Source organism: Homo sapiens, chromosome 16, assembly GCF_000001405.40.
Source record: "Homo sapiens chromosome 16, GRCh38.p14 Primary Assembly".
In the NCBI taxonomy this organism is placed as follows: Eukaryota; Metazoa; Chordata; class Mammalia; order Primates; family Hominidae; genus Homo; species Homo sapiens.
Window position 1 is genome coordinate 73,343,643 of NC_000016.10, and position 14,631 is coordinate 73,358,273.

The 14,631-nt window shown below is 45.9% G+C and overlaps 1 protein-coding gene across 1 annotated transcript in view; it reads right to left on the reverse strand.

Annotated features, from left to right (window-relative positions):
• Positions 1–14,631, reverse strand: part of ZFHX3 (zinc finger homeobox 3) — a 1,109,046-nt gene that overhangs the window by 560,758 nt on the left and 533,657 nt on the right. The gene's annotated exons all lie outside the window — the stretch shown is intronic.

Consider the following 14,631-nt stretch of genomic DNA (forward strand, 5'->3'; position numbering starts at 1 on the left):
TTGAGCCCAGGAGTTAACGTGAGCCATGATAATGCCACTGCACTCCAGCCTGGGCAACAGAGTGAGATCCCATCTCTAAAGCAACAACAACAAGACATGTGAAAAGAACAGAAAGGGCTCCTGTTGTCCAACTCTGGGACAATTTGGGTATCAAAATAAATCATGATGGTAATGGATTACAATCCCTTGAATAATCCATCAGAATCCATGAATTCCTACTAATATAAATGGATGCATAAATATATCATTAATGGAGAGAAGGGAAAGTTCTTTCTTGCAGTAGAATTTGACTCATAAATGTGAAATGATGGAATTAGAAAATCACTGGGCAAACATCACAGTAATAACTGGTTCAAATAAGAAGTGCCCATGGATGCTAAAACTAGTAGGTGAATGTTTGATGAAGATCAGGATATTTATGTCACTTCAAAATATCTCTCCACAATTTCTTATTAGTTGCAAATGGAAAAATAGCAACCTTATAATGGAGAAACCTGGCACATAGCACCTCAGCCAAGTCATTAAAGATAACATCACAAATAATGGCACTGACCCAAAATCATATCCTCTGACTTCCTCACTGAGGAAGACACAGCATCACTTCTGGGGTGTTTCTGCCAAAAATTCATCACCTAGATCTAATCATAAGGAAACATCAGACAAACCCAAATTGAGTAACCTTCTACAAAATAAATGGTCTGTACTCTTCAAAAATGTCAAGGTTAAAGAAAGCAAAAGAATGGGTGAAGATAAAGAATGAGGAATTGTTCTGGTTTGAAAGAAACTAGAGAGATGTGACAACGAAAGGCAATATGTGTTTCCGGATAAAGCACATTCTTGGAAGGATGGAAAAAATTTGAATTTGGACTGTGGATTCATTGATGGTATTGTATAAATGTTCAATTTTCTGATTTAGATAATTGTACTGTGATTAGGTAAAACAATGTTCTTGTTCTTAGGAAACATACACCAACATGTTTAGGGATAAGGAAGCACAAAGCCAGCAATTTATTCTCAAATGACTGAGAAAAATTATATATCTACAGAGAGAGACAGAGAGAGAGAGAGAGACAGACAGACTGACAGGGAGACAGGGACATGGGGAAGAGGAGAAAAGGCATGAATGGTAAGGGAATGGGACAAAATGTAAACTGCTGGGGAAGCTCGATGAAGAGTATGTCAGTAATTTTTCTACTAGCTGCTTTTTGTAACTTTGACAATAAAAATGAAAAGTCAAGAAAGCATTGCTCACAGATCTTTGAGAGTGGGCAACTGCTACATCTCAGTTTTGACACCTGCTTGTGAATCTGGGGAGCTGCAGAGAGAACCTGGGTCCCTTGGGCCTTTGTTTTTCAAGCTGCACCAACTTGCCCTGTATCCCTTGTCCTGTTCATGGAACTTCTCAGCCTTACTCAGCTTAAAGGGGTTGAATGTGAATGGTTTGGAGCAAAATCTTTTCCTAGTTAAAAGCATTTTTTTTCATAGCCCTGGATTTAAATCTTTTTATACGGAAATATTATCCAATTAGACACAGCTATTTTCTTTTATTTTCAGACAATAAAAAGTCTTATTTTGTTATTTCTTTTTAAAATTAATTTGAGTTTTTAAGTTCCAGGGAACATGTGCAGGATGTGCAGGTTTGTTACATAGGTAAACGTGTGTCATGGTGGTTTGGGGCACCTACCAACCCATCACCTAGGTATTAAGCCCAGCATGCATCAGTTATTTTTCCTGATGCTCTCCCTCCCCCCACCCCACCCCCCGACAGGCCCCAGTATGTGTTGTTCCCCTCCCTGCGTACATGTGTTCTCACTCTTCAGCTCCTACTTATAAGTTAGAACATGCAGTGTTTCTTTTTCTGTTCCTGCGTTAGTTTGCTGAGGATAATGGCTTCCAGCTCCATCCATGTCCCTGCGAGGACATGATCTCGTTCCTTTTTATGGCTGCATCATATTCCATGGTGTATATGTACCACATTTTCTTTATCCGCTTTATCACTGATGGGCATTTGGGTTGATTCCATGTCTTGGATATTGTGAGTAGTGCTGCAATGAACATACAGTTGCATGTATCTCTGTAACAGAATGACTTATATTCCTTTGGGTATATACACCCAGTAATGGGATGGCTGAGACCCAGCTATTTTCAATATGACGTTGATCTGTGAGTGAGAAGTCCTCTTCTCACCTGTGGTGCTTGGTGGTGCTCGGTGACACCAGCCCAGGGCCCTGCTTCCCTAGGGCACAGATGGGTCCCTGACTCAGCTGTGGCCAGAATTTAGAACATGTTGGTTCTGGGTTGTGAAACTAAGCCATAAAGACGCTGGGATTCTCTACCTTCTGGGCTATGTATTATTCCTTGGGGAGGGCTCCCAGGCCAGAATGAGGGAGCTGTCCCTCTGAGACCCTTCTCATCCTTGGGTTATTTCCCCCAAGGCTCAGCGACCCTGCACCTTTTGATCAGCCCCTCTCCTGGCTGTGAGTGTTGAGAGACCCCCAGTCAAATCGTCCCCAACTCAATATCACATTCAGATGCCCAGACAAAGTGTGATGATCCAATGGATACATCCTCTGCCTGCCTTTTGGAACTTTTCCAGCATTTGGGAAACATCTGTCCCTCCCAGACCACTGAAAGCTTGTCTTTGAAAGCCTCACGCACCTGGAACACTCTGGGCTCTCCCACCGTCTGTCCTCTCGCCACCATGGATGCACAGGGCCCCCTTTGTCTGGGCAGGCAGCATCTCCCCACTCAGCCCAGCCCTGTGATACCCAAGGTGAAGAAGAATCACAGATTGGCCAAAACAGCTATGGAATGGGTCACCCCAAGTTGTCATGCACTTTATTTACTTATACAAAGTTTTGCTTTGTCATCCAGGCTGGAGTGCAGAGGTGCGATCTCGGCTCACTGCAACCTCCACCTCCCCGGTTCAAGCGATTCTTATGCCTCAGCCACTGGAGTAGCTGGGACTACAGGTGTATGCCACTATGCCTGGCTAATTTTTGTATTTTTTGTAGAGATGGGGTTTCATCATGTTGGCCAAGCTGGTCTCAAACTCCTAACCTCAACTGATCTGCCCACCTCGGCCTCCCAAAGTGCTGGGATTACAGGCGTGAGCCACTGTGCCCAGTCTGTCATGCTCTTTGGACACTGAGAATGGGGACCACAGACCTAGCCAAAGAGACCTGTGACCTAAAGAGGCCAAGGAAGAGGAGACTTCTCTCCTCCCTAAACCATGAAGTTAACTATTTACCACTGTTGTAATTATCCTTATTATTTCACTTAAGAATGATAATGATGATTCCAATTAATCTTCATGTTCACTATAAGGAGGTATGGTCATTCCTGTGTTACAAGGGGAGGAAATTGAAGCTCAGAGCCATAAAATAACCAGCAAGGATCCTGGAACTGCTAGGTGCCTGAACCCAGATTCAAATCTAGGTCTCTGTGATGCCAGAGCCATATAGAAGACACACAAATAAATATTTGCTCCTTCAAATGACTGCAAAGTCTATGTTTACACAGTTAAGTCCCCAATTCATGTCATCCCAAACAAACTTCTTCCATCTGATTCTACTTCCTGACACAGCAGGGCCCACAATCACAACCATTCCTTTTACTGGGAGTATCCTCAGCCCGGAGGGAATTGCTACCTTTTCTTAGCTCCATTGCTGTCTGCTCTCCAGGCCTGGATGCCCCGTAACAGGTATTCCTGCAGCCCACAATGGTGTCCAGCTTTGTTGGGATACCCAGTCGTGGAAACACACTTTGTGATATCAGCATCTGTTCCATCTGGGGCATCAGGGACTCAGCCTGTTCCTCACCCATAACCTCCTTGCCCAGTGGGTGTCTCTGCACCGTCCTCACCCTTCTCAGAGGTAGATAGCAGCAACCAGGAGCAGGGAGGCTCAGTGAGAGAGAAAGTCATTGGTATTGGCAGGTGGCTGAGGCTTGACTTGGAGCTATCAGCTGTGTTTAAGCATGACTGCTATGGTAACACATTTGCGCTGAGAACTACACTCTCTATTTGTCTGTTACAGTAGTTAATTTCATCTGTTTTGCAGAAATATTTACTAAGGGTGAGTGATGGAGGCAGGCAGCTGTGGCTGCATCCACTGTAACCATATGGTTTATTTACAACCAGAGCTCCATGGTGCAGATAGCTCAAAGAGGATTAAATTATACTTTGTAGATTAAAGTCCTGAACACTATAAAACTCATAAGCCTTTGTATGCTAAGCAAGAACTTTGATTCCCATTGGACATGAAGCTGATATTTTGCACACACAGAAAGAGTGAAAACTTTTGATATTTAAGTATTTTCTTAAAAAGCTGGCAGAATATCAAGCTTGTTCCTTAGGCAGTTGACTGGTTAAAGGGGAAAAAAGCAGCTTCACAAATACCTTTTAAAGGAACTGTGTGACCTGCTTCATTCTCACTATAAACAAGGCCTCTCCATCTCTGTTTACTAATCTTCTTGAACTTGGGCAGGCCGACTGCTTAAAAGGAAACTGCCTCCAACCAGCCAAAGCCACGGTTTATTTTTCTGCTGGCCACCAAGACATACTCCATGTAATTACATCCGAAGCACTCGGCTTCTCCAAGTTTACTTAACATTGGTGAGAAAATAAGTCCTAAGGAAAAGCCTAGCATTGTTGGAATCTTCCATGCAACTGGGAGCAGCTCCGTTAAGTCTCCCTGCGATGGGTTGTTAATCACCTCTCTGGCAAGGGTCCTTCACCTTTGGGGTGGGTCATTTGTCCTCCTCCCAGCCCCCCAACCCCAGCCTCCATCCTCTTCAGACCCTGAAAGAATTCCGTTCAATATAGCCTTCTCATTCATCTTTAAAGTTTCACTCTCTGTCACCTTCCACTTGAAGCCGTGTTTGATGTTTCCACGGGCGTTTCTACTGATGGGCTTCACCCGGAGAGCTTTGTCGTTGACTTTGAGACTCTGGCGTTCAGAGGATGGACTGATCTTCGCAGGTGTTATTTTCTGCACACGGTGCAATTAGCCACACAAGCCCAATTGGCACAAGCAACACACTCACACGTTCTTTGCACTGAACCCTTGGTGCTCATTTGGGAGGCTCTTGTGGGACCCACATTCCCGGTTAAAGACGGGAAAGTTCCTTGTGGATGACCAACCCTCACCAAGATAGGTGTAGAGGCAAATTCAGCCTGCCAGAAGCCCAGGGACTTCTCATTCATTGGAGGCAAGTCTTATGTGCCTATGTAGGGAATCAGATACCGTCTTGTGGCATTTCAGTACCTTGGTTCGGTGGAAAATCAATGACTTCATTAAAACACAGTGGGAAAATATACTTTTAAAAGAATTTGGAGCAAGAATGGGGATGGTTTTATTATCCTGGGGGTCCACAGGAACTTGTGTGTCTCAGCCTTCTTTTGGGGGCATCAATTAATAACAGATCAAAACAGAACAGATTCCCAAGGAGTATTTTTCACACTTTCCCACTCAGGGATCTCCCGAGGGATCTCTTGTGTCTTCCTGCTACCTCTAGACTTTTGTTCTGCCACAGCAAAGGTATCAAACATCTTAAAATCTGGAAAGGAGGCCGGGCAAAGGCTTGGAAGGCAACAATCCCCGGGAATTCCCCCAGCTGCTTGTCACACACCATCCTCACACCCTTCCCCTGGAGTCACACTGCAACCCTGACACCTAGTTGGAGATTGATCACCTGATCAGAAGAATTACCTCTAACCAAGTGCACAGTCAGCAGCCTCATGCAGGATTTGTGAGATCCCATACAGTGTTTAGTGTGCTCTCGTAGGAGGTGTTAGTAGCAGTTGTGTGAATAAAAGGTGATTGTAACTGTACCTTTCATTGGGGTGATCTTGTTTAATTTTCACAATCATTTCAAGAGATAAGGAGTACAGATGTTATCAGTTTTTGTAAGTGAGGAAGCTTGGGTAGAGAGCTTGTCTATCGCTTTACCTCTCTCTCTCCCTTACTTCCTCCCTCCCTTCCTCCCTCCCTCCCTCCCTCCCTCTCTCCCTCCTTCCCTCTCTCCCTCCTTCCCTCTCTCCCTCTCCCTTCCTTCCCTCCCTCCCTCCCTCCTTCCCTCTCTCCCTCTCCCTTCCTTCCCTCCCTCCCTCCCTCCTTCCTCCCTCTTTTTTCCCTCTCTTCCTTCCTTGTTCCCTCTTCCCTCCCTCCCTCCTTCCCTCCCTTTCTCCCTTCCTTCCTTCTTCCCTCCCTCTCTTCCTTTCTTCCCCCTCCTCTCTTCTTTACTCCCCTTCTTCTTCCCTCCCTTCCCCTCCTTTTTCCTTTCCTCTCCTTTTCCCCCCTTTCCATGGATCCTTGAGAACTCAGGCCTGATACCCATGGCTTTTGCCTTTCCAGTTCTTTATTCTGGAATAAAGAACTGGCAAGGCAGAAGCCTTTTTCCTTGTGTAGGGAAAGTCACCTTTCTCCACACAGAGAAATCTGCCTTCTTTTAAGCAAAACAGTTTGAGGGAGGATGCTGAGTCTTCATCAGCCTAGATTCCAATTATAATGGACCTATAGCAAGCTGCACTGAAATCACATCTGATTTATTCAACCCCTTTTCCCTGATGATTACCTTCTCCATTCTGAACAAGAATATCTCCTCTTTCTGGGTGAGGGAGCAGCCTGATGATAGCCTCATTAGAAAATGCGGCCGCTCCTTCTTGCAGTCTAATTGGCTGACAGGGTTTGGGATGTGAAATGTAAATTGCTGACAGTGTGCACGGCCCTACTTTTATCACAGTGAAATCTTCAGCTGTCAAAGCAAATGGATATGTGGAGTGGTTCATTTTATGTGTCATTAAAAGACCCATAATTCCGGCCATACGTCTTTCCTGGATTCTTTCAAGAGGTGGTACTTGGGATTCCCTGGACTCCTGAGTGTCTCCTGGACACCCTACACAACTTCAGGCATGGTGAAGGCAGCTGTTGCAGCTTCAGGTAGCGAAGACTCAACTGAGAGAGTTGGCCCTATGTGGGATTTCTCGGGCTTCTCATATAGGCTTATGTTTCACTCATCACTTCTCCTGCATCCTGACCCTTCGGTCAAGTGCTGGAATGTTCCAGAAGATGAGATGGTTGGCTGCTGTTTATGGTCCTGGTGGCTAGAGGCATTGCTACTCAAGGGACACTGGCTGGTGAGCAGCTTTGAGAGTCTGCAAGCCAAAGACGGTCTCTTGGGAGAAATCTCTTTGTAGGGAAGCAGCATGTGCGCAAGGAAGTCTGGGCAATCCCAGAGCCTGAGTTCTGCTTCCTGGAAAGTGTATCACAAGCTCCTCAAGGGAGGATGTGGGCCAGCTCATCGGGATCCAAACCCATGCACCGGTCCAACCAGTGACTTGAAAAATGGAGGTGTCAGCATCCGATGACCTTCCCCGCATAAGAAAGGGAAGTGACACTGGTGGCATTTGGCGTTAACTGTCCAAGAATACGTAAGGATGGCAAGTTAAACAGTAATCACCAGGTAACCATCTCAGACAGATAGAAACAGAGGGGAAAAAACCCAAGAGTAGCTATCTTTAAAGAGAACAAGCAGATCTGAGTAATCCAATTTAGGAGAGATAAGAGCCTGCTGCTAGTACTGTCCTTTAACTGGACAAACGCCTTCGTTCAAGTGTCAACCCCAATCCGGGAGAGGTCACCGCACTGGGCCTGCTGCCTAATATACTCCTGAATTGGCTGAGTGGCTTTCCGAACAAACACACTGGTCCAACAGAATTGATTTTCAACAGGCCGTATTGGTCCCTAACGTAATTATCCAGCAGTGAGTCAGTTCACGGCGGCCCCTGCATTTAAACGCTGCTGGTCAGCCTGGGAGAGGGGACAGCTGTGCAGAGGGGCCTTCTCCAAACTTCACTTGGGAACCTGTTTCTTTCCCCCCAGCTGCTTTTCTCCCAGCTTCCTAAATAATTTAAAGAGCGATGGGGATTTTGCACAGCTCCGTCTTAAGTGGGCATTGTCTTAGAGGCCTTGGTCTCATGTGCCAATGAATATCAAGTCCTGGCTGTTTGATAGGTGAATTCAATTTAAGATAAGGAATCAAATGGAATCCTTTTAAAACGCTTCAATGTTTAACCTCTTCCTTTCTTCAAAGCCTTCTTGGCAGCACGGTTTCCATTACCTCTGGGTCTCCAGCCTTCCAGGGGGGCAGGTCCATGGGGGTGACCTCCCAGAATAGTGCCCTCCCCCAAAAGACTGTCACTCAAAGCCTCTGGTCCAGGTCCTTGTCTGTCAAATGTAGTATGACCTTTAAACTTTCAGCTGAACATTACAAAAGTATCTAAATGTCAATGGGTTCCCAAAGCTGGTAGATCCATTATAAAGGGTATGAGAACTTTTATACCATTTCTAGGATATCCAAATAAAATAACTTCTCCCTGGATGCAGGAATAGTGGCAAGCCTCAAAGACCACAATGTTCCTTCCCATTCATCACTTCCATTCAGACTGAGAGAAACTTACATATTTCTTTCAGTCTGGGGAATCGCCATACTGGTACTATCTTTTATACACAGCCTTTTAGCTCATGCCTCTCACCCGCAGAGAGGGCAGGAGTGAGGTCTGAGGCATCCTTGTCCTCCTGACACCCAGTGCACTGCATGGCCTAAAGCAGTACTCAGCAACGCTGTGTGGAGTTGAATTAAAGTGATTTTTAATGACAAAAGGACAATCAAATAGCTCGGTAAGCATGGGCAATAGCTTGACCTCTCTGTGCCTGGACTGCATTTCTTCATCTTTGAAATGAGGATAACGGCTCCTGTGGCATGAGGTTGTTATAAGGATAAACGGTGTCACTATTTGTCAAGCCTTTGGTTTCTCTCTCTCTCTCTCTCTTTTTTTTTTTTTTTTTTTTTTTTTTTGGAGACAGAGTCTGTCACCCAGGCTGGAGGGCACCAGGCAAGATCACGACTCACTGCAATCTCTGCCTCCCGGGTTCAGGCAATCCTCCCATCCCAGTCTCTCGAGCAGCTGGGACTACAGGCATGTGCCACCACGCCAGGTTGATTTAAAAAAGTTTTTTGGGGTAGTGATGCGGTCTTGCTATGTTGCCCAGGCTTCAATACTCATCAAGCTGTTGGAACTGCACCTGGGACACATAGAAGCTTTAAGTAAGGGACACAACTAGCCACTTACAGGGTAGTACAAGGGGTGTCCAATAGAAACAGCCTTCCTGAAGCTTTTCTTCATATGGGACTTCATCTGCTGTGAAATCCTCAGCTGCACTGGTCAATCAGCCGTGCTATCCAGCCTGGCCTCCCTAAACTGGCTTGGTTCAGGGCTGGGGTCCCAAGCCTGTGTGTGTGCCTGACCAGAAGCCTCATGGTCCAGGGGTAGAGAGTTGCTGATGAGGAGATGTGGAGCAGGACACGAAGAGATGTGTCTCTGCCTGCCCCGCCCTAGTTCCAGGGGGAATCCACACAGGCAGTGACAATGAATGAATTCATGGTGGCAGTGACCATGAGAGAAATTGATCATCTAAGTTCTCAAGAAACACTGTGCATTCATGATTGACCTGCTGGGAGGCTCTGCTCAGGCAAATGGTAAGACACAGTTAGAACCCGTCTGCAAGAGACAAGAAAAATATTCCCATTTGTTTAAAAACACTAAAATCACCCATGGGCTCATTTCGCCAAAGCTGTTTTGGTTTTCACCGAGTCCCCCTGGCCAGAGTGGAGCTATGAAAACCAAAGCAAGGACTGCCATCCATTTACTCACTCTGGGTTGACCCAGGATCCTGCTTGGCTCAAGCGACCTGACTGAAATGAGCACACACTGGATCATTTCTGAAGCCCAAACTAACACAATAGTGTTATTAGCAATAAGATTGATAATGTGCTGGATACTATTTAAGTGCTCTTCTTCTATCAGTTCACTTAATCTGACAGGTAACATCACTGTCATTTCATCTGAGGAAACGAAGGCACAGAGAGGTTAAAGAGCATGGCTGAGATCACAGATTTGGGACTTTGAACCAGCTCATGGCCACTTAGCCATCCTGCCCCTCTGCAGAGAGGAAAGTAGATGGAGATGCTGCAGTTTACAAAATCACGTGAATGCTGTTAGTATAGACCCAGTGTGCGGTGAAAAATGAAAGGAAGCAGGAGAAAAAGAGGCAGGAGGAGAAAGGAAGAAAGACATTTGGCATAAAGAACAGGAGGAGATAGGAAAAAGATAAATACGTTATTAATACTTAATATTGTTATTTTTATTTATCAAATAAATAGTGTTCATGATAACGACAGGTAACATTTATGGAGAGCATAAAATACGCCATGCGCTGCATTGTATGAAGCACTTCACATTCAGTTATTTAATATTCATAATGAAGCAATCAGTTATTACTACAAATCTCACTCGGAGAGAAGGAAACTGAGGCTCAGAGAGGTTATAACTTAGTCAGTATGGGACCAAAATCTAACCAGAGTAGGGCTGTGGGATTTAGCAAATAAAAATACAGGACACCCAGTTCAATCTGAATTCCAAAGAAACCCCAGATCATCTGGCACGCACTTACACTAAAACTAAAAATCATTTAGGACATCCTTATGCTAAAAAAAATGTATCCATTTATCTGAAATTCAAACTGAACTGGCATCTTATATTTCATCTGGCATCCCTAGACAGAGGCATTATGAGGTTGTCTCAAGTTTTTATAGTTTTAAGCTGGCAGGAACTTGAAATGTAAGGTCCCGAGTGTATTCATCTGATCAGATTCTCAGTGCATCTGTATAGACGCCAACAGGATCCAAATTCTTAACTGGCTGCAAATCCAAAGTTTTAAGTGCCCGAGTAGAATCTCAGGCATGTACGATGACTGCCCAGCTCTGTGCTGGGGGGCATGCCCATATGGGGCCCTCATTTCACGAGGTCTCCCTTCCACGCCCTGTTACCTGCAGGTAACATGCCTGTTACCAGCATGGCCTCTGGACCACGTGCATTTGACCTCCTCCCCAGTCCAGCGTCTGCCTGCGTGCAAGCTCTTTCTGCCCCAAACAGGAGGCCAAGAATTTTCCCGCTTTCAGTGTGCACAGCTGCCTGGCAGCCAGAGACAGCGACCTCATCCACCCTTCTTCCTGCCTGTCCTTCCCCTAAAGTCCTCCTGAATAGGGTCAGGTTCTGGCTGCGTTTTTCAGTCTCTAATTAGCAGATTCCAATTCATCACCCTGAGTATCTCCCGGCATCAGCCCCAAGATTCCCTCCTCTTGCCTGGTGAATCGGTCTTCATTTAAAACCCTCTCTCTTAGCCCTAAATGGAAATCAATTCTGCAAGTTTAGCAAATAGTTAATTACTCCACAAAGAGGATTGATTGGCCTTTGATCACCAGAAAGCTCTGCAGTGCTATTAGTCTCTTTCATCTGTGATTAAACCACAGAGAGAAAGAAACAAAAACTAAATTAGGCTTCTCCTGTTATCCTACAAATATTTAATGACGGGCTAATCTCCTAGAGGTGTGTTCGGGGGATACGTGTTCCATTAGGAGCCAGCTTCCATTCAACCTTGAACCGAGATTCCATCTTTGTGGAGAGTGCAGCAAAGAACTTTACAGAGGAACAGAGCTGGGCTCAAAGAAACGCTTTGTAGGACACACTCTTTTCTGCCTTTTCTTCTCTTCTCTTCTTATGTATGTTTTAATGCAGATAAAGATTTTCCCAGTGGACTCCTGACATGAATAATAATAATAAGAGGAAACCTGGCTTAAAAAATTCCATTTGGGTTTTTTTCTAACTCTGTAACTAGAACCAGATCCTGTCCCCTTGATTTGCACACACCAAGGAGTTCCTCTCTCAAGCCACAGACTCCTTCAACTAGGGGCAGAAAAGGCAGGTGCCATGGAGCTTTTTGGTGGCTACCTCTTCCTGAATAGGGACACTAAAGAGCAGGGCAGGAGCTGGGATGGTCTGCTTCATCCAATCCTCAACATCGTCATGTACAGGAAATGACTCTTTAGAAAAGGCACTTTCTGTGATACAAGAGTCCTATAAAGGACATAAGGAAACTGAGGCACAGCAGGGAGGACAGATCAAGGACCTTGGAGTCAGGCAGAATTGAATTCAACTGCTCCCTCTGCTTAATATCTGCGTGACCTTGGGCAAGTCGCTTCACATCTCAGACTATGTACAAAGGTGACCATAACGCCTACTTTCCAGGGCTGTGCTGCTGATCTGTTCCAACAGAGCGCGACGGTACCAAGCATAGGGCTTGACGCATAGTAGGAGCATTTGTTGCTAGGTTTGCTCCCCTCCCTTTCTTTTACTCAGGGTCACACAGCTCATTACTGAGAGAGTTGAGCCTGGAGCCATTGTCCTTCCCGAGTCCAGGGTTTTTCCTCCCCCACATTCACGCTGCCTCTCCAGCAACCTTTCCACTGTACACTTTCCATTCTGCTTAGAATTCATCCCAGAGACCTAAGTTTCCGAAATAACATCAAGGCTTCAGAATTAAAGAAGAGATCCAGGCCAAGAATAATACAGCCAAGAAACCAACCAGGTTTTCGTTGAATGGGCACTTTCTGAATGGCGGAGTCACCCCCCGCCGACCATTGCCAACCCACTGGATAAGCTACTTCGGTCTCCAGAAACAAACACAAGACAGGACCTAATTGATTGCTTTTCAGCCTGGTACGGCTGGCCCGATGAAGACAGCTGGCATGCACTTTGTAACACCCTCATTTGTTCTTCCTGCAGTCTCATGTACAGCCCCACGGGTCACTCTGGGGTTTTCCTCTTCATAATTTTATCAGAAAAACCCTGCTAATTGGATTGACCTAGAGCAAGACGGTGATGTTGGCAAAGTCGGTGCTCTGTAATACCAGTTCCAGCTTTGTCTTCAACTTGTCCCCACGCTGAGACGGGACCCCTCACGGCGGTGACACATGCCTTGTTCTACATGCTAAAGACCAATGGACTCTGCACCAGATCATCCAGTGGGAGTCCCAGCTCCGACACTTACAAGCTGAGCGACCTTGGACAATACAATGGCAATGCTAACAAGTTTAATTAACATATGCTGAGCACCTTCTTGTGTCAAGGACGGAGCCAGCATTTCCATGGGGATTAAGTAGACTAATTACCTGAAAGTATTTGTGGCTATCAATATTATCATTAGATTTTGTTCGGTTTCACTCACGTCCTTTCAACATTCATCCTATACATGAAGGCTGTTTGCTGCAAACACCTATGATGCTCACCTGAGGGCTTTTTTTTTTTTTTCTTCCTGGCCATGGGAGTACACTAGGCCTGTGCTGGGAGGTGCCCAAGAGCTAACAGGGTGGGAAGCAGCCGTTAACCAGAGACTGACTGGGATTTCCTCCTCCCTCGGGTGGACAACTCTGAGTGTGTGCCCCATACCACCTCCCAAAGTTACCCAGCAGAGCTCAGCTCCAATTGGCCATGGTGGAAATGTGCTAGATAATACACATTTTATGGACTTCTTTCCTTCCCCTCTTTCCCTTTCCCCACTCCTCTACTAGTGTTTCACCTTCCAAATAGATGATTTCTCAAATTTTTGTCTCTGGTTCTATTTCTGGGAAAACCCAGACTAAGAGAATAGATCTTAATAATAATAATAATACCCCCCACCACAAAACCCCAGCAAGAATATTTGTTACTCGACTGAAAATTTGGGGCATAAAATGCATCAGCAGGTTTGCATCTTGGAAGAAGGTTAAAATGAAATTAATTACAAAAAATAACAAAAATTGAGAGAGAGAGAGAAAACAGGAATATGGAGAAGCAATGGTAACGTCTTCTGGGAGCAAACAAACGGTGACAGAAGTAACCTAGGGCAACTGAGATGGCAACTAAGAAGAGTACAGGGAAGGCCAGAGCCTTCTAGAATTGAGAGAGAGGACAGAGACAGAGACAGAAAGACCCTGTTGGAGGCACACTGGGCCCTGTTACAGATGAGCTACTTCAATGTCACTGTGGTTTTGCCAGAAAACCAGAGGGCTTACCCTATAGGCCCCATTCCTCCAGGTTCTAAAAGGAGCCTAAAATGACAGGTTCCCCTTGGACCAGCAGACAGAGGAGTGGTAGGGTTCAGGCTGTACCTGGCAGGAATTTTTAGGGCGTGAGAATTTGAACCGTGGCCTGTGTCGGGAGGTGTGTAGTTTGAGTGGATTCCTCTTCCGGGTCACTCTGTCAGACTCCTCACATTCCTTCGGCTCCATCTGGAATTGCCCATTTCCCTCTTCCAGGCTGGTCTGCTCCAACCCACTTTCCATGCCCACCCACTGCTGTCTAATATCCTTCAGGGACTTCGCACTGCTCTCAGGAGAAGGAAAGGTACCCTGGGCCCACCCAGCAACGTCTGGATCTCTCCCTGTGAGCCTCCCCCATCCCCTCTCGGGAGCATCTTGCTGCTCCGTGAATCAGCCCTGCTCCTTCCAGGGCCTCCCACCATTTCCTCCCTCTGCCTGGCTTCCCAGGCCTGGGCATGGAGCTGGGCTAACTCTTCTGTATCTGTCAAGTGTCAGCTTAGGAGCTTCTTTGAGACGCCTTGCTTTGTACGGATTTGTGCTAGGCAGCTCCGGAAATGGCCCCCAGCACCGTCCACTCCCTGGCATCTGCACTCTCTTGCAGTCCCCTCCCCTCGAGTGTGGGCTGGACTTAGTGAACCACTTCTAATGGAT